General features: G+C 37.1%; 1 protein-coding gene across 4 annotated transcripts in view, besides 2 other annotated features; it reads right to left on the bottom strand.

The window, feature by feature from the left end:
• The window catches only part of HMMR (hyaluronan mediated motility receptor), a 31310-nt gene extending 11074 nt beyond the window's left edge, over nt 1–20236 (bottom strand). The window contains exons 1-12 of one of the 4 annotated variants that reach the window (NM_001142556.2): nt 20130–20236; nt 16914–17012; nt 16066–16145; nt 13120–13167; nt 11039–11227; nt 9597–9683; nt 9405–9505; nt 7615–7689; nt 7311–7489; nt 6663–6811; nt 5196–5410; nt 2068–2184 (exon numbers count right to left, since the gene is read on the bottom strand). In NM_001142556.2, the coding sequence (NP_001136028.1) occupies nt 2068–2184; nt 5196–5410; nt 6663–6811; nt 7311–7489; nt 7615–7689; nt 9405–9505; nt 9597–9683; nt 11039–11227; nt 13120–13167; nt 16066–16145; nt 16914–17012; nt 20130–20175 (1385 nt within the window). In that variant the 5' untranslated portion in view covers nt 20176–20236. The remainder of the gene's footprint in view (nt 1–2067; nt 2185–5195; nt 5411–6662; nt 6812–7310; nt 7490–7614; nt 7690–9404; nt 9506–9596; nt 9684–11038; nt 11228–13119; nt 13168–16065; nt 16146–16913; nt 17013–20129) is intronic. The other 3 variants (NM_012484.3, NM_012485.3, NM_001142557.2) reach the window with 3 other exon arrangements.
• Nucleotides 19990–20049: an enhancer, noted in NCBI's record as "active region_23578". NCBI's record gives its function as "activates an Ori minimal core promoter by ATAC-STARR-seq in GM12878 lymphoblastoid cells {active_cell/tissue: GM12878}" and the evidence as "EXISTENCE:reporter gene assay evidence [ECO:0000049][PMID:35858748]".
• Nucleotides 20380–20469: a silencer, noted in NCBI's record as "silent region_16590". NCBI's record gives its function as "represses an Ori minimal core promoter by ATAC-STARR-seq in GM12878 lymphoblastoid cells {active_cell/tissue: GM12878}" and the evidence as "EXISTENCE:reporter gene assay evidence [ECO:0000049][PMID:35858748]".

Raw genomic sequence — 20596 nt, 5'->3', positions numbered from 1 at the left:
AGAAGATACCTGTAACCCATATGGCTGATAAAGAAAACCTCTACAAATCAATGAGGAAAAGATGATAACCCTATAGACAAATAAACAAAAGTCATAAACAAGCATTTTATGGAAAAGGAAAGATGAATTATCCACAATAAGAAGCCATTTTACACTAAGTACACTGGCAAAGTTTAAGAAGTCTAACAAGCTTTGGCAAAGAAGATAAATGGAAACTTATACAACACTAGTGGGAGTGTAGATTCTTACTCCCACATTGGAAAGTGATTTGATATTAAGTTTTAGAGTTGAACATTCATATACCTTTGGCTTTAGAGAAATTCTTACATACATGTATTCTTATAGTCACAAAATAACTAATAATAACTAACCAAATGGGAAACAACTCAAAGTCCAAAGAATGAATAAATAAGTTGTGGTATATTCATACAATAAAATACTCATAGCAGTGACTATCAACAAACCATAGCCTCAGACAACACAATTCAATCCTGAAAACACACATAATGCAGAATGAAAAAATAAGTCCCAGGAAACGGCATATACTATGATGACATTTTTTGGTAAAGTTCAAGGAGAAGGAAAATTACATAATGCATTATTTGTATGGATATACGTGTCATAAAATTATAATACACAGGGGGGAAAAAGCAAGGAAATAATTAGTGTAGACTTCAGGACAGTGTTATCTGTCCCATTTTCATGGGATGGCAGAGGAACTTACATATGGATACTAAGTTGTTGAAAATCTTTTGGCTTACTGGTTGTCTTTTATAGGTTCATGCATGTCAGTTTTATCTTCAAGCTCTACAGTTTATGTACATGTTATGCATTCTTTTGTATTTATTAAATAAAAGAAAGGAAACTCTCCCCCAAAATGAGCTAAAGTAAATGTGATAAATAAAAATGTTAACATTAATATATAGGTATTCATTATATTGGCCTTTGTAATTTGTAGTTCCACCCAAAATAAACTTTTTATTTAAGGAGAAAATAAGTAGAAGGCATGGGAGGTGAGGAAGTGGATATAGAGACAATCTTCTCTGTCAAGAGAAGAAAAAGGAGGAGAAGGAAAAGGACTGAAAAGGAGTAGAATTTGGGGTTAAGAAGGGAATGACTGGTGGTGTGAGACAGCTACAAAAGGAAGTTAGGGTCAGAGAAGTATTTAAAACAACTTATGTATTTTATTTATTTTTCGTTTGTTTTTGAGACAGTCTTGCTCTGTCACCCAGGCTGGAGCGCAGTGGTGTGATCTTAGCTCAGTGCAGCCTGGAACTCCTGGGCTCAGGTGATCCTCCTGCCCTCAGCCTCCCAAGTAGCATGTGCCACAATGCCTGGCTAATTCTTAATATTTTTTTTTGTAGAAACAAGGTCTTACTCTATTGCCCAGGCTGGTCTCAAACTCCTGACCTCAAGCAATCCTCCTGCCTTGGTCTCCCAAAGCACTGGGATTACTGGTATGAGCCACAGTGGCCAGCTAATTAATATATTTTACAGACAGATGTACATTAACATGTTTTAATATTGATTGGAAAAATTCCAGTAAAAAGGTTTCAAATTATGAGAAAACAAAATGATAGAATGAGGTCACTGAAGATTAAAAGACTAGGACATTTCATCTGTAATAGGTGGGAAGATAGGATGAGTATAAATGTGGGTCTCTTTATAGGTTTAGCAAGAGATAAAAACTTCTGAATTCTTTATGAAAATGATAACATCAAGAGAGTAGGGCAGAAGCACCAAATGCTTCTAAGTACATGACTTGATCCTCCCACCTCAGCTTATGCAGTGGCTAGGACTACAGGCATATGCTGCCGCACCTGGCTCAGCACATAAAAGTTGAAGTGGATGGTGAGAAAGGGGAATTTCTATAAATTATAAAGGGGAATTATATAAATACAATAAGATTACCAGATAATGCTAAATGCCCACTTACGGTTGGTGATTATGGAATTTAAACTAGTATGAATCATCCTTTGTGTGACTGCTTTGCTCACATATTTCCTGGGGTAAACACCCCTTTCTGCACACATCATATTTAAGAGTGCAGGCTCCCAAGAAAAATACCTTTCAAATTGAGCAGTAACATCTTCAAGGCTTTGCACCATACTGTCATACTTTTCCTGCAAAAGCAGGGTGGCCTGGGTATGAGCAGCACTACTTTTCTCCAGTTCAGCCTCCTTCCTAAGAAAAAGAAATAATTGAAAGATAAAATGCCACCTACAATTACTACCCTAAGAAAGAAAATAGTATTTACCTTTGAAACTGTGAATCATATAGCTCATATCTTCACCACTGCATTACCTGCTAAATAGCTCAGATCCTAATTTATGACTTACCTCGAAAGCATGTTTTTTATGCATTTTTCTACTAGCTTCAACTTATCTTTCCTGCTTATTTTACTTTAAAAATTTGGGTGAAGAAGGTAGTAGGATATAAAAGACTATAAAACCAAATCTTAAGATACTAGCCAGGACTAAAGACTGCAAAAGATTACCAGTCAAAAAACATCTGGATTGAATAAAGTTTCATTCTCTCCATTTAGACACTTGAGAAATACCATGAACAATTAAAGCCACTTCATTTTAAACTACAGAGTTACAAGACTTTGTGGATTTATTCTGATTATATGAATAACCCACATAATACTCTATTACTGAAAGACTTAATAACTTCTTTAATGGATTATTTTGCATAGACAGAATGGGTTTTAAGTCATTTTTATATACATATGCTATTAAATCTCAGGGATATTTTGGAAATAATATATTTCCAAAGTGGTGATAAAATTTTTAGATATGCATATGAGCTTATGAGAGATCTTTTAAAGAATATACAGAACTAAAAATTGTAAATAAGCATTGTGTACTTATAGACTAAGTTGGACACTGAGATAAGAAAAATAGCTGATCAAATTCATTCTGTAACAAGTGCCGGATTTCAAAAATATACACACCACAGCAAGAGCAATCAAATATGACTAAAGAGTTTATAATAAAAATATTTTCTTCCCTGTCCCCTAGAGGAATTATTTTCAATTCTTAGTTTGTTTTTCTCTTAAGCTTGAAATTTCCAGGCTAGAAGGGATCTTAGAGACCATCTAATAAAACTCTTTTATATCTAATGAAGTAGAAGATCAAAGAAACTAAGATTGTTTTGCTCAGAATCAACCAGCTAGCTAACAGAATTAGTAATAAAAATCCTTATCTCTTGACCATTGGACCACAGTTTTTTGAGTTGGAATAAAAAATTATCTCAATTTTCTTTCCTCTCTTAAAATGACATTATCTTATTTTCCCAAGATTCCTGTTCCCTGAGATTGGCTGTAGTATAGAACAACACCCCTAATTACAATTTTGTATTGTTCCCCCAAAAGCAGGGATATGAAAAACCTTGCTGTTCATTTGCATCACTAATCATAAGAAAACAGAAAAGATTAATAACAAAAGTATCCACTGAGACAGATACACAGGTGTGAGATATATTACAATAATACAAACTCATATCTAGCCCACAGTCCTTTGACAACAAGTGTTTTAATGATCAGATCCCAAGGATTTAAATATTTGCAATTTGAACTCAAGAATCAAATCAGACTTTTTAATTTAAATAAATGTAGTAGTGTTTGTCACTAACCTGTGTTCCTGAACTATGAAATATGAATATGTAGGCTAAGGAATAGTTTCTCTTAATAAATAAAAAATTAGCAATTACTATGGACAAAACAAAACAAAATGAAATAAATAAGTGTATGGGAGAAGGAAACATAATGTGGCAGAAATTATAAGGAACTAGAGTTCGGGAAAAAAGTGAGATTTCAGTTTTTCTTTTGTTTTTGGGACACAGTCTCCCTCTGTCGCCCAGGCTGGAGTGCAGTGGTGCGATGTCAGCTCACCACAACCTCCGCCTCCTGGGTTCAAGCAATTCTCCTGCCTCAGCCTCCTGAATAGCTGGGATTACAGGCGTGCGCCACGATGCCAGGCTAATTTACTATGTATTTTTAGTAGAGATGGGGTTTCACCATGTTGGCCAGGCTGGTCTCGAACTCCTGACCTTGTGATCTCGCTGCCTTGGCTTCCCAAAGTGGTGGGATTACAGGTGTGAGCCACCGCACCCAGCCAAGATTTCAGTCTTTCTACTGTAAATAAGAGATTTCTTACTTCTGAATGTTTCCCAGTTATAATTATTTTTTCTCATTTGCTTTTTATCAGTTATTGATTGAGGTGGCATCTTGTGCTACGTTGCCCAGGCTAGAGTGCCATGGCTATTAACAGGTATAATCGTTGAGCATTACAGCCTCAAACTCCTGGGCTCTAAAGATCCTCCCATCTCAGCCTCCTGAGTAGCTGGGACTTTAGGCATGTGCCATTGTGCCAGCCTGCTTTGCATTTTGATTGCTATTTCTGAAGTGTTTGTGCTCCCGGAAAAATGTAATTAAAGGTATAACTTACACTATGTAAGTGCATAGACAAAAATGGGAATGCTATTTATTAATGGGAGGGATTCTTTATTTTTTTCCCCCAAGTTCATTATTGTGTTTTGTTTGTTTTTGAGACAGAGTCTCACTCTGTTGCTCAGGCTAGAGTGCAGTGACGTGATCACGGCTAACTGCAGCCTTAATCTCGTGGGCTTAAGTGATTCTCCTCCCACAACTTTCTAAGTAGCTGGGACTACAGGCACACACCACCGTGCCCAGCTAGTTTTTTTTTTAATTTTTAGTAGAGACGAGGTCTCACTATATTGCACAGGCTGGTCTCAAACTCCTGAGCTCAAGCAGTCCTCTCACCTTGGCATCCCAAAGTATGGGAATTGCAGGCATCAGCCACCACATCCAGCCCTGAGTTGATTATTGTTCTAATGCTGATGTTCAATAAATTTCAGAAATTAGCAGAGTAGTAAAGAAGTGTAAAACTTTTGTCATTTGTTTATTTAAACTCTCTTTGGCCTTAAAAAAAGGGGGCAAAACCTTTAACTTTTAACTTAAAAGAGGGGGCTGTCTTACTTGTTTGCATGTACATTTTGTGTTCACATTCTGTGTCTACTACTTAATTGTAAAATAATTAATAATTACTACTTAATTATAAAATAATTCCAACCTAACACGCTCACATGATTGATAAGAGAATACTAAAAAAAGTACTCAAAATAAATACATCTGAAGTCATACATAAACATGAGATCCTATTAATACAAACCCTTTCAGCTTTTCTTCTAGGAGTTTTAATTCTTCAGCTCTAGATTTTGCTTCCTCTTCCAATTGCTTGACCAGCCTTTCAGCTTGTTCCTCCTTTTGCTGTAATTTATCAAGCTCATCCAGTGTTTGCTTTAATTCTTCCTCAAACAGATTCTTCTCTTTAACCATTTCCTCTTGAAAAGAACAGAGCTTCTGATGAAGACTCGAAGATAATTCCTATATCCAAACAGAAAACCACCAAAATAATTTGGAATGGCATTGTGAGGTTGTACTAGGAGACAAAAAAAAGTACAGATAAAGAAGGATGAAACCTAAATTCAACAGATTCAAGGAAACTTAAAACAATATAGAAATAGCATATTTGTTTTCATAGATTATTTCCTATACCTTGTTAACATTGTGGCAAATATCATCTTAGGCTTTTTTCTATGCAACGCACATGCAGAAACTTCTTAATCTAAAATTATATTTTATATATATATATCTGTTTTACAACTGGCTTTGATATTAACATTATTTTTCACATATTATGTAAAAAGTGTGTGGTGATTTCCATATTACATAAAATTATTTTTTAAGCTATACAATATACAAATACATCACCATTGTGAAATAATTCTAACATTACAAATGATGTTAATATTATCTTTGACGACTTCCCCCCCTAATTTTAGTTTTCCCATTGCAGAGATAGCTACTAGTTTGGAATATATATGCCTTCTGGTATTTTTCTTTACACTTATATATACATATACATTTGGGGAGGGATATAAATGATATATACTCTGTTGCTGAAATCTTTCCAGGTCAGTGTATATAGATCTACTCAATTCCTTTAGCTGTTGTAGGTTGTCCAACACTATAATATTTCACATCAGTGCATGTAAGTACCTGTTGGCTTAACTCTCACCAGTATTTTGTGTTATCAAATGTTTTAATTTGTGCCAATTTTGTAAGTGAAAAAAATATTATTTCTACTTCCTTGGTTACTACTAAGGTGGAGTATCTTTCTATATTTACAGGCCAGAACTTCTCCTTCTCTGTTTCCATCCTATGCCCATAATTTTTCAGTGGACTTTCTTTCTTCTCACTGATATGTAAAATGTTCTATAAATAATCTGGATTTTAAAAATTGCTTTGTTTCTTCTGTAATTAGACAGTCTTTTACAAGGTAAGTGTAAATGTTTATATAGCCTAAATAACACAAGAATGAGCCAGAAAATTTTTTAAAAATTCCCTATTTTGCTGTATCTGTTGTCATTTTCCCACATTATTCATAACCCTAGGGTGAACATGTAGTGAAAATACGTAGCTAAATCCTCAGCATATCCATGATTATGTCCTCAGGATAAGACTCTAAAGATAGAATTGGTAGATCAAAGGATATACACAATTTAAAGGTGTTCAGAGACATAGGGAAATGTATGACACAAAATGAACAGTTTAAAAAAATATGGTGGTAAATTACTTTCTCTTGTTGCAGAAGTGAATCAATTTGTAATTCTTTTTGTTGAAGCTTTTCACGTTCCTGTTGTTCAAGAATAAACTTCTGTTTTAAGTTTTGCATCTCTGCATTTAGATTTTCGTTGTGTTCTCTATTCCTGTTGACATGGTCTTCTAGAAAACGCAAAACATCAAGAATACTGGAATTAGATAAGAACATTAAGACTGAGAAACCTGGACTCCCATAATATTCCATTACACTGCTTTTAGCATGGTATTTCCAAAGAAGAAAACAAAACTGTGAACTTTGTATCATTACTCCATGTAATATATACTATGTGCTAAATAATAAAACCCACAAATCTTGTTCTGTGTTATCTACTGATTGTTACACAGCCACCTAGTGGAAAAGTCAAGAATTATATGACTGTATATATTTCAATCAAGACAGGTAATATGCTGTATTGAAATAAACAGAAAACAAACATTATAAGAGTAAAATATTCTAAAATGCAGTACAGGTTTTTGCTGTTGTATAGCTATATAGCTAATTATATTTAAAATGTTAGTATAGCTAATTATATTTAAAAGGTTGTTTTAGCATAGTAGTATTTTTCCTAAATGTTGTATGTAACACTTATCTAAACAAAGTAACTATAAAACACTGTAATACCTTTTTCTTTTTCAAGCAGCTGACATTTCACATTTAGATCTTCTACTTGTTTAGATAATATAACAATATTCTCCTCAAGAGACTGCTTAAGGCTTAAAATTTCATCATTCTTCTCTTTCAAATTTTCTTCTAACTGGGCAATATCTAGCTTGTATTTTTCCACTTGATCTGAAGCACAACTGCATTAAAACAAATTATCTTAAAAAGCACATCTATTTAGGCACAGGGAAAATAACAGAAAAATGATGAAAATGACTGAGTATTAAAAAAATAAGGTTCAATTTAAAGCTACTGCTCATATTACCTAATTTCTTCGATGTATTCCAAGAGTTTTTCTGTTTCAGATTTTTCATCAATCTTTTCTTTCTCTATTGAAACACTAAAACAAAAATTGCATATGTTAATACATTCTAGTTTCGTTATTTAATAATCTTACATAATGCTTATGTACCAGATACTCCTGTATCAGGCAGGCTGACTACAGAGCCCTAACTCTTAACTATTATTTTATGTAATTTCTCAAATTCACAATTTACATCAAAATAGAAGACTAAAATTTTTATTTAAGTGAGAAAGTTTTCTGAATATATACTGACAAAAAAACCTATGATGACAAGAACCATCATTACAGTATCCCAAGTGTTAGAAATAATATTCTTTTTGTGGTCTTCCTGGTTTCCCCACCCATCCAACATACTAAATAGCATTTTGTGTGCCCATAAAGCTTTTGTCCCAGACTACCTGGTCTTCAATTACTTATCTGTTTACCTCCACCAAACTGTCCAATGCAAGAAATGGACAAAAGACTTCAATAGACACCTTGCAAAAGGTGATATGCACATAAAATGGTCAATAAGCACATAAAAATAAGGTCAACATTCATGGTAACAAATTAAAATCACAAAGGAGATACCACTTCCTACCTAGTAGAAAGGCTAAAATCAAACAGACTGACAACATTAAATGTTGGTGAGAATCTGGAACAACTGAAACTATCATACATTGCCAGGGGGTGTATAAAAATGGCAAAAACACTTCTGAGTTTTAAAAAACATTATATATACACTACCCTATTACCCAAGAATTCTACTCCTAGAAATTTCTCTGAGAAATAAAAACGTGTCCATAAAAAAACATAAAACATGTTCACAGCAGTCTTTTTAATGGCAGACACTGGCAACAGCCCAAATAATGATCAAAAGGAGAAGAGTAAAGAGATGGAGGTATATTCATAAGGTGAACCACTACTCAGAAATAAAATAGGAAAAATTACAGTATACAGAACGGTTTGGATGAATCTTGAAAAATTACATCAAACAAAAGAAGCAACACACACACATGCTCTTTCTCTTTTGCATGTCCTAAAAAAAGGCAAAACTGGCCAGGTATAGTGGCCCATGTCTATAACTCCAGCACTCTGAAGGCCAGGGTGGTATCACTTGAGTCCAGGAGTATGAGACCAGCCTGAGTAACAAAGCAATGCCCCATCTCTAAAAAAAAAAATAAATAATAATAATAATAAATAAAAAAAGGCAAAGCTAATTTATGATGATGTAAGTGAGAAAGTAGTTATGGGGATGGGGACATGACATAGGCAGTAGCAGGGGGACAAGAAGGGGTATGAAGGAACTTTCTGAAGGGATGAAAATGTTCTCTATCTTGTTTGGTAGTGGTTACGTAGGTGTATACAATTGCTAAAGTCACCAAACTGAATACTTACTATCCACACATTTTATTATATGTATATTAAAGCTCAAAATCAAAGGCTAGGATTGTGCATAAATCACAATTTCCTATACCAGTGTTTCTCAATTTCAATCTAATGACCACTTTCATAAGATCATGAAATCTTTCCTCATCATTAATAATACAGAAGATGTACAAAAGTAATGCACTCATACAACTTTGTAGCACAACATGTTTGAGAATGATTAGGGCTCATTCTAGTTTAAAAAGAGAAATAGGGCAACTGGAGGGAGGCAATGAGATAAGTACTAACAGAAGGTTGAAGTCTCAGTAAACAATAATTTGTGAAGAGACTCAAATCAAGAATTGCTTCCACTTAACAATTTCTCTTCACATTCACTCACTTACAGTTTTCCCTCCAGTTGGGCTATTTTCCCTTGAGACTCTTCGAGACTCCTTTGGGTGACCTGCAGCTTCATCTCCATGCCTTCTTGCTTAGCCATCATACCCTACACAACAAAGATACCTGTTTTAGGAAATGAGAAAGTTGTACTGATCCCCAGATCCAGACACAGCAAACCTGCCAAGGGCAGCACTCACCCTCATCTTTGTTTCTCTTTTGTTTCTAAGTTTCATCAACTCCAAGCTTAGAATTCTCAAATTCTTCTGGTTACCATTTTCAGAAAACTAAATACAACAAACACGTAAAAAATTCAGAAATATTTTCTGCTAAGACATATTTAAAATACACAAATATTGATTTTTCTACCTATCACTGGGGTTATGTTTTTGACTTTAATATACTTTGGTAGAGAGAACAGTCTTTGACCTACACCATAATTACTGATTGATTTAATTTTTTTTTCTTTTCTTTTTAAGAGATCAAGTCTCGCTCCGCTGTCCAGGCTAGAGTGGAGTGGCATGATCATAGCTCGCTATAATCTCAAACTCCTGGGCTCAATCAATCCTCCTGCCTCATCTTCCTGAGTAGCTGGGATTACCGGTGTGCACCACCACCATGCCTAGCTAATTTTTCAATTTGTTTATAGAGATGGGGTCTTGATATGTTGCCCAGGCTGGTCTCAAACTCCTGGCCTCAAGCAATTCTCCAGCCCTCAGCCTTCCAAAATGCTGGAAATACAGGCATGAGCCACTGTACCAGTCTACTGTTCTTATCCCTCTTTTCCTTAATGTGACTTGCTGGTTTATTTTTATTTTATTTTTGTAAGACAGAGTCTCACTCTGTCACCCAGGCTGGAGTGCCGTGTTGCTCACTGCAACTTCCACCTCCCGAGTTCAAGCTATTCTCATGCCTCAGCCTCCCGAGTTCAAGCTATTCTCATGCCTCAGCCTCCTGAGTAGCTGGAATTACGGGTGTACGCCACCATACCTGACTAATTTTTGTATTTTTAGTAAAGATGGGGTTTCGCCATGTTAGGCTAGGCTAGTCTCAAAATCCTGACCTCAAGTGATCCATCCGTCTCAGCTTCCCAAAGCGCTGGAATTACAGGTGTGAGCCACTGTGGCTGGCCTGTTGGTTCATTTTTGAAAGGTTGTTTGGGTGGTCACTTACCTCTATATGCTGGAAAGTCCATTGCAAGACTCTAAAGCAAGTCCCTGAGAAAGGATTTCTTGAAACATGTTTGCTTAACAAAATGAATCTGAATCGCCTGGTGTATGTTGTTTTGTTTTGTTTTGTTTTTTGAGATGGAGTCGCACTCTCTTGCCTAGGCTGAAGTGCAATGGCGCCATGTCAGCTCACTGCAACCTCCACCTCCTGGGTTCAAGTGATTCTTCTGCCTCAGCCTCCCGAGTAGCTGAGATTACAGGCGCCCGCCAATAGGCCTAGCTAATTTTTGTATTTTTAGTAGAGACAGGGTTTCTCCATGTTGGTCAGGCTGGTCTCGAACTCCCGACCTCAGGTGATCCGCCTGCCTTGGCCTCCCAAAATGCTGGGAACACAGGCGTGAGCCACCGTGCCCGGCCCTAAAAAACGTGTTTATATTTATTCAATTGTAAATATTATCATGAGGCTCAGATACCTTAGATTTTAGTAGTTCATTAGTCCTGGTCAATTCAATAAGTTGTTTTTCCAGTGTAGCATTATTTGCAGAGAGAGATGTTTTTTCCCTTAGTGCAGCATTTAGCCTTGCTTCCATCTTTTCCAACTCAGTTTCCAGATCCTGGATCCGCCTGTCCTGGGCACCACGTTCCTGTAGAAGAACACGAATCTGGACAAAAACAAGGTGATAATAAATGATTCACTGATAGAATGCCAACATAAGGAGATGCTACCAATAATCACCCCTAAAGTTTCTGGAAAAATCTCTGATTTTGACATTATGCTTGTAGATATTCTAATGTTACTAGCTATTTGAATAATCATATTTACCTATGATACATCTTAAAAGTCTTAATGCATTTTAAGAACATAAGAACTTTAGTTGCCATAAGTTCCAAGTACAATTAAGCTATCTATTCACTTTTTTTTTTTTTTTTTTGAGATGGAGTCTTGCTCTGTGCTCTGTTGCCCAGGCTGGAGTGCAGTGGCACGATCTCGGCTCACTGCAAGCTCCGCCTCCTGGGTTCAAGCGATTCTCCTGCCTCAGCCTCCCGAATAGCTGGGACTACCAGCACGGGCCACCACACCCGGCTAATTTTTTGTATTTTTAATAGAGACGGGGTTTCACCATATTAGCCAGGATGGTCTCGATCTCCTGACCTCGTGATCCACCCGCCTCAGCCTCCCAAAGTGCTAGGATTACAGGTGTAAGCCACCACACCCGGCCGCTATTTATTCACTTTTAAGGTATTTCCACCTATAATAGTTATTTTCTCTAGCTTCAATTACACAAATTCAAATTAGCTTAAAATGCTAAATGTTTTTTATTTCAAGAAGGCAGAGCTGGGCTTCTGAGGAGAATGTACTAGGCATTGGCAAGCCATCATTCTTGCTGCTATTACCAGATTAAAAAAACAAAAAACAAAAAAAAACCCAAACCAATATTTGTCAACAGAAAATGTGGAAGCCAAAAGACAATGAAATGATATTTTTAATATAATGGGGGGGAACCTGCCACCCTAAAATTCTATACCCAATGAAGTCACTGGTGTAAATTATTAGTTCTAATCCTGGCTCTACCACTCACTTACCAGCTATCTCACTGAGACTCAGTGATTATTCCTGTAAGTATCAACCCCTACATGTACCCTCAGTAAAATGATAGCTAACATTATTAGAATACATAAAAAAGAATCAGAGCAACTGAGCAGACATTTACAGTTACTCTGACATACTCTTGGTTGAAAGCCAACATTCGACTGTAATCAAATGAAAGATTTTAATATATTGAAAGAATATATCCATGAGGAAAAGAGTTGGTCAGCAATGGAAACAGAAAAAAAAGACTGCAGAGAAGCAAAGTTCACAGTGAGCTGCTTAGCATTGCTAGGAAAGTAAATGGGTTCTTTAGGTTAGTACTGTTCAATAGAAATTTCTGTCATGGTGGAAATGCCCTGTCCAGTATGGTAGCTGCCAATCACATGTGGCTACTGAGCACTTGAAATGTGATTATTGCAACTGAGGAATTGAGTTCTTATTTAATTTAGATCATCACATGTGGTGAGTAGCTACCATATCAAACAGCACAGCTCTATGTTATTTCACCCATGAGGAAGGCCTATACCTATTGTGCAGAGCAATGCATCGAGTTAGCCTAACTTCATCACAGTCTAACCAGCTAGGATTGCATGCTCACTAAGAAATCCTCTAGCTATGTTGTGTTAACATAAGTTAGCATACAGGAAGACTGTGAACGATGGATAGATATAAATATTTGATCCACATATATAATTGTAATCAACTGACATAATGATTTTTCAGTTATCAGTTTTTCATTAAGTGGGCTATCTTTAATCTCGGCGTTGCCAGCATACCACATTAACATAGCCCGGATAGATCTGTGAAATACTGTAAGAACTGTTTTCCTGTAGGCACTGTTCTGGATGGCATGTTTGCCTCACTGCAGGACTCCTCACACTGCAACAGAATCCTTATCTCTTAAATCTGTGTAACTCTCTTTCTATCATGTGTACTTTTCACTAAGTTTAAAGCACTGCTTACCTCTTTCTCTAATATCTTCAAATCTTTATCATTCTTTTGAGATTCCTTCTGTTTAAAAGCCAAAAAAACTTATAAGCAAATTTAGATGTCACAGATATGACAGCCAAATTTGTTTTTCAGTTATCAGAAAAGATGAAGGGATCCAATCAGTTAGTTTCTATTTTAAACATTACACTGTTAAACATTGTGTAGGCCACTCATCTGATAAATAAAATATTCTAAAAATCTCAAGACATTTTAGGTTTAGAAATTTTCAACCCAATAAATCAGGATTTTCCTAATCAGCCCAGTGAAAAGAACAGGTGGAACTTTATGAATAAAGCTACTGACTGCCTCCCTCTAATGTTAAATAGCAACACATCTTGAATATTTAATTATGCTATCTCAGAAAGAATCTTACAAAGAGAAATCGACTTAAACTTTGATACCCGAAGAGGAAAATATACAGATGCAAAGAAATAAAAACTGAAACAGCATAAGCTCTGATTCTAATTTTCTCATTGGCTTTATTCTAAATAAGACATATAATTTTCACACTATATCTTTTTATATCCAACAGACTTTCTGACACAATGGCTAGAAAAAGAATATCTTTTCCATCTAAAAATGGAAGAAAGGCATCAACATCTTGAATGAAATCTGTTTCAGATGTTTCTAAGTGGGGCAGGAGGTGGGGGTGACATCAGTGTCATGTTTATTAATTTCACACTCCATGAAATTTTTTATGGGGAAGGACTATTATTTTGGGGCTCCATACAAACTTGTATGTAATTTAGTTTTCTAAGGGGCTTTATAAATTACAAAATTACAGAACAGTTTCTTCAAGAAATTTAAGTCAAACCACTTACATCAATTTCTAAGAAAAGAGTGTCTATAATAGTCCTGCCCAATAAAAATAATGCAAGCCACCTATGCATTTAAATTTTTCTAGTAGTGTGTTTAAAAAGTAAAAATCTTAATATATTTTATTTAACCCAACATATCAAATATATTTTTTCAGCATGTCATTGGTATAAAATTATCAATGAGATGTTTTATATTTTTGTACTAAGTCTTTAAAGTTTTCTTTGTATTCTACACTTATAGCACGTCTTAATTCAATGCTAAATTTTCATCAGAAATGTTTATGTATATTTAATTTCATAAAACATAGAAAGGAGAAAGTAAATTCACATACTCAAGTTGTTCCAAAAATATTTAAAAGCGTTCCACTAACAAAATCGAGTATGTCTTTAAATATGTATTAATTAAAATTAAATATTAAAAATTTAGTTCTTTAATAGCACTAGCCACATTTCAGTTGCTCAATAGACACATGTGGCTATGCTTCCATACAGAACAACATAGCTCTATATTACAGAATATGAGGCTTAGGCAACTGCCAAATGAATGAACAACCTAAGCCTTTTTCCAACTCTGAATATTTTTCACATCAAAAAACCTATTAATTTGTACAACTTTTTTACTTTATTTTTATCTTTGAGATAGGTCTCGCTCTGCTGCCCAGGCTGGAGTGCAGTGGTGCAATCTCTCGGCTCACTGCAACCTCTGCCTCCCTAGGTTCAAGCAGTTCTCCTGCCTCAGCCTCCCGAGTAGCTGGGATTACAGGTACGTGCCACCACACACGGCTAATTTTCTTGTATTTTTAGTAGAGACGGGGTTTCACCATGTGGGTCAGGCTGGTCTCGAACTCTTGACCTCAAGCAATCCACCTGCTTCAGCCTCCCAAAGTGCTGGGATTACAGGCGTGAGCTACTGTGCCCGGCTGTCTTTTTTTTTTTTTTTGGAGAGACTGAGTCTCGCTCTGTTGCCCAGGCTGGAGTACAGTGGCACCACCTTGGCTGACTGCAACCTCTGCCTCCCAGGTTCAAGCAATTCTCCTGCCTCAGCTTCCCAAGTAGCTGGGACTACAGGCACGTGCCACCACGTCCAGCACATTTTTGTATTTTTTAGTAGAGATGGGGTTTGACTACATGTTGGCCAGGCTGGTCTCAAACTCCTGACCTCAAGTGATCCACCTGCCTTGCCTCCCAAAGTGCTGGGATTATAGGCGTGAACCACTGTGCGCCCCCCAGCTGTCTTTTAAAAAGTATTATATGGCGGCTGGGTGTGGTGGACAACACCTGTAATCCCAGCACTTTGGGAGGCCAAAGTGGGCTGATCACCTGAAGTCAGGAATTCAAGACCAGCCTAGCCTGCCCAACTGGCTAATATGTTTAAACCTCGTCTTTAGCAAAAACACAAAAAGTAACTGGGCGTGGTGGGGCGTGCCTGTAATCCCAGCTACTGGGGAGGCTGAGGCAGGAGAATCGCTTGAGCCTGTGGGGACAGAGGCTGCAGTAAGCTGAGATGGCGCCACTGCACTTTAGCCTGGGTGACAGAGTGATACTCCATCTCAAAAAAAAAATACATAAATAAAATTTAAAAAGTACTATGCAGCTTGCCTGTTTATAAACTTATGAAAAGAGTAATAGTAGCTCTTGCACAAGCCACAAGACTATTAAGAATTTAATCTCTCACCACTCCTTAACAGTTTCTCAGTAGCAAACCTCTCTTAGATATTGGCATTTTTTCCCACTTTTCTTCAAAAACACTTACCCTTCCCCACAAACAAATACACAAAAACAAAACAACTCAAATGGTGGTACTTAATAAATCAAAGCATCACATAATTTTGAAATGTTTACTAGGTAATGAACAATTTAAACATAGAAGTGATTGAGAATTGAAGACCATTATAATTGTGAACTAAGGGCACATTTAAACATAATGACCTAGGCAGAAATGTAAAACTTGCTAGAGTTCTAATGATAACTCATTTCATTAATTTACAGATTTACTTATAACCTTGATTCATACACTTAACCCATTCTAATCAAATACAATACTTTCAGATGTTTTTGATGATACACTTGATAAACCAGCTGGCATATAAAAGCTCCTCACCTTTGATTCCGAAGACTTAACTTTTCTAGCTGAAGCAGGCAAGGTAGTATCTTTGTCAACATTAAGATTTTGTTTAGATTCTGCGGAAAAATGAATTGTACAGATCATGGTTGATGTCAATGTGTTTTAACTACACACAAAACACAATTTCCAAATTTTTTTGTCTTTCTCTTTTTGTTTGTTTTTGTTTTTTGAGACAGTCTCACTGTCACCCAGCCTGGACTGCAGTGGTGTCATCTCAGCCCACTGCAACCTCTGCCTCCCAGTTTCAAGCAACTCTCCCACTTTCCTCCCTAGTAGCTGGAACCACAGGCGCACCCCACCACACCTGGCTAATTTCTGTATTTTTAGTAGAGATGGGGTTTCACCATGTTGGCCAGGCTTGTCTCGAAATCCTGAACTCATGTGATCCACCCACCTTGGCCTCACAGAGTGCCAGGATTACGAGCACGAGCCACCTTGCCCGGCCCCAAATTTCTAATTACAACTTTTGATGAAACAATATATTCTTTCCTTAGTTGTACATTTTCAAATAATTACTCATACAATTTTTTTACACATCTAACACCTTTCTGATTTTCCTAATATTCCCTGACAAGTCAAGGTAATTACCAAAAGGGAAGCTACATATCAATATAAGTATCTTGCTTAATTTTCCTGGTTATATAACAATGTAATGATGACAGCATTATTCTGTACTTGACCCTTTCATAAATCCATCAAATAAAATTTAAATATAGTTCTAGCTTCACATTTTAAAAAATGCTATAACATCTTTAAATATTGTTATTCATAACTTTAAAACTTATAAGATCACATAACCATTGTTCTTTGGTGATCTATATTACCTTTTTGTTGTTTAAATCTTTGTGATTTCTGAAAGGATACTGGTCCTTTCAATACTTCTAAAGTTTTAACATCATAAGCACCTGGAGATGGTGCACAACCTAGAGGAAATAGAAAACATTAATATATTATCTAATGTTACTTATGATCTTAAGTTAAAACATGTCATAATAAAGTGAATATAAATGTAAAAATGTCATTAACAAACTGCTTTTTTTAAATGTAAAAAATTGCATCCATTTGATATTACAAAGAAGGCCTCTCTATGAAGAACAATATCATCTTGCCCTTTATATCAACCGGGTCAAAGGAACACAGGCAACTGAGCAAACGACAGTTTTGAGATGAACATCATATATTACAGGCAATATATGGCTTTCTTACTAAGGATTGAATATAGCAAATAAAATACTTGGTGTCAACTCTACTCGAAGAGAGTCACAAAGATAACTACTATCAGTTTCTAGAAATAAAGTAATTAAAATTGTCTATCCCTCAATGTTTAGCCTAGAATAAAAATTTATAGTGATAATCCATCTCTGGCTAATATCAATACATCAGACCTATTAAAGATGTCAACTGCAATTCAAACACATGGAAGAAAAGCAACCACACTAGAGCAACTAGAATTTTTTGAGCACTTACTAAATGCCAGGCATTATGCTAAGCATTTCACAGATGTTATTTTATTTAATCCTCACAAGAATCCTGTGTGATAATTTATAGACAAAGAATGTGAGGCTTAGGAAATTCAAAAAGCCAATGTTACACAAAGTACAAATTGTACTAGACTATATTTGTATGTTCCAGAAGTTTATACTGCATAATTTCACTTAACTAAAGTCCCAGATTTGAAGGCATTTCTGAGTAAATACACATAGCAGACCTGAGATGGGGCCTTTAGGACTTAAAGTAATTAAAATACTACTAGCCTAAAGCTTTAGCTGATTGGGAACAAATAGATTAATACTATTCTCTGAAAAGCTATTTACTTCAGTCTAGAGTCTCATGCAAATAAATAGGAAGAGCAAGGAGCTTGGACCATTCCCAGGCAACTACTGCTGTCCCCTAAATGTTTGTCAAACAGTAGACAGGAACTCATGATTTTTTTTTTTTTTTTTTTTTTTTTGAGACGGAGTCTTGCTCTGTTGTCTAGGCTGGAGTGTAGTGGCGCCATCTTGGCTCACTGAAACCTTTGCCTCCTGGGTTCAAGCGATTCTCCTGCCTCAGCCTCCCGAGTAGCTGGGATTACAGGCTCCCACCACCACGCCCAGCTAGTTTTTTGTATTTTTACTAGAGACAGGGTTTCACCATGTTGGCCAGGCTGGTCTTGAACTCCTGACCTCAGCTGATCTCTCTGCCTCGGCCTCCCAAAGTGCTAGGATTACACGTGTGAACCACCAGGCCCAGCCCCATGAGTAGATCTTGATTAGCATTTTTTAAAAAGTAAAAACAATAGAAAAAGCATGACTCATATGCTGCAAAGTTAGGCATTGTTTTGTGAAACTTTTCTTTCGTATGTATGTGTAGAGATATAAAAATACATCTTAGGTTGAAATATAAATTTTGGGGGTTTTTTTGCTTTTTTTTTTTTGAAACAGAGTCTCGCACTGTCACCCAGGCTGGAGTACTGGAATATGAAAAATCACCACAGTGCCTCATACACATTAAGCATCAAATTAATAATTAGTATTATTTCTGTAACTGTGAGCCTGAAATACTATATCTTTGATAAAGCCAGTTTAACCTACTATAATGCAAACAACAAAAAAACCAAAAAAACCTTAAAGCCACACTGCTGACAAAACTTAAGAGTAGGTCCTTTGATTACTCGGGAAATCATATGGTCCTTGAGTCTTTTAACTAAGAAAATAAGTTTGTGCTGATTCACTTGCTCATTTGGCCTTCCTTTGTGAGTAGTTGTATTTTCATTCACACGTTGGCTGACAAAACTTAGAGACGTAATGAGTAACCACGAAATAGTGTATGATAGTGAATAAATCATGAGCTTTAATATTTAGCTCTACCACTTACTGATTGTGCAAGATACAAAACCTCTGTTTTCTCATCTGTAAAATGAGGTCAATATCAGTACCTTCCTCACTTGGCTTTTGGAAGGAATAAACAAGATCTAGTAGCACAGTCCCAGCATACAGCATTTTTTTTTTTTCTGTAAGACAGAGTCTTGCTCTGTCGCCCAGGCTGGAGTGCAGTGGCGCGATCTCGGCTCATCGCAAGCTCCGCCTCCCGGGTTCACGCCATTCTCCTGCCTCAGCCTGTAGTCAGCTGGGACTACAGGCGCCCGCCACCGCGCCTGGCTAATTTTTTTTGTATTTTTAGTACAGACGGGGTTTCACGGTGGTCTCGATCTCCTGACCTCGTGATCCACCTGCCTCGGCCTCCCAAAGTGCTGGGATTACAGGCGTGAGCCGCCGCGCCCGGCCGCATACAGCATCTTAAATGATGAGTGCCTACCAAACACAGCTAAGGCTTCCTGGTTACTGTGCTGTGCATTGCGGTGTTAAGAGCACACGATGGGGGCTGGGTTCATATTCCAGTCCGGTCACTTTGGTAATGTAGCACTGAGCAAATTTAAGTCTCAGTCTTTTTATCAATAAAATAATAATAGGATTACCCCTTAGAGTTGGTGGGAAATTAACATAACTAATAATCGATGTAAAGCCTTAGTACGGTGCTTGAGGTATAAGTGGTCAATATCAGCCATAACTTCATTGTTTATGTTTTCAATAAGTGCTGCTGCTCTAATTTTACACCCATAAACTGCCTTTACTAATCTTCCTTCTTTTATGCCCAAATGGAATACACAAAAGAAATGCACAAGTTCAGACTACAAGTAATACTCCAGTGTTCTTATCAGTGAGGCCCTCTCGGACTTGAAAATCAAGTAGCTACCAACGTCTCGGGTCCATTCCCTTCGCCCTGCTGTAGTTTCTCCATTACCGCTGTTTATTGACAGTATTCCCCGCCTGAATGTAAGCCCCACGGGGCGGAGACTGTTTCACTGCGGTATCCTTAGCATCCTGATTAGTGCTTGGCATGTAACAGATGCTTAGAGCATATTTGAGAAAAATCAATCAACTGAATGAGCCCCAGCCCGACCCTAAAATCGCCTCCTGCTTGCCTCCCAAGAAGGGAGCTGAAAGAGGCAAAGGGCGTTAGGGCGTCTCCCGTCCCCCAGCTCTTTCCCCCTTACGCACCAGAAGGGTCATTGAATCGTTTCAAGGGCGCCTTAGGAAAGGACATGTTGACGGCCAGCTCCAGAAACTGAAGGTGACTGGCACTCCTCGACAACTGAATGCGGATTATCACTCCCTACCGGTTTCAAATTCAAATCTCCCCACATTCCCCACCCACCCCGGCGTTAGCCAATTGGAAAGCCAAACCCCTGGGCACACCAATCCCGCACAGGAACACGAAGAAAGAATGCTGGGTTCTGATTGCGTCCAATTAGCTGGCCTGCGAGTTTAGGCTGCCATCCAATAGGAGACCGTTACTGTTCCCCGCCCCACCCACCCAGTCATTCCCGGAGTTACTCAAGTGTAACCTAGCATTTGCGCAAGCGCACTTCCCTCCGGAGACGTTAGAAAGTGCATTTTGGCGTCACTTAGGGGACGGTGTAGTGAGTTCCGGCTTCACTGGTTCCAATTCTGTCCCATTGTTCGTT

This window comes from Homo sapiens, chromosome 5 (assembly GCF_000001405.40).
Source record: "Homo sapiens chromosome 5, GRCh38.p14 Primary Assembly".
Classification (NCBI taxonomy): Eukaryota; Metazoa; Chordata; class Mammalia; order Primates; family Hominidae; genus Homo; species Homo sapiens.
This window is presented reverse-complemented; position numbering and strand designations above follow the sequence as displayed.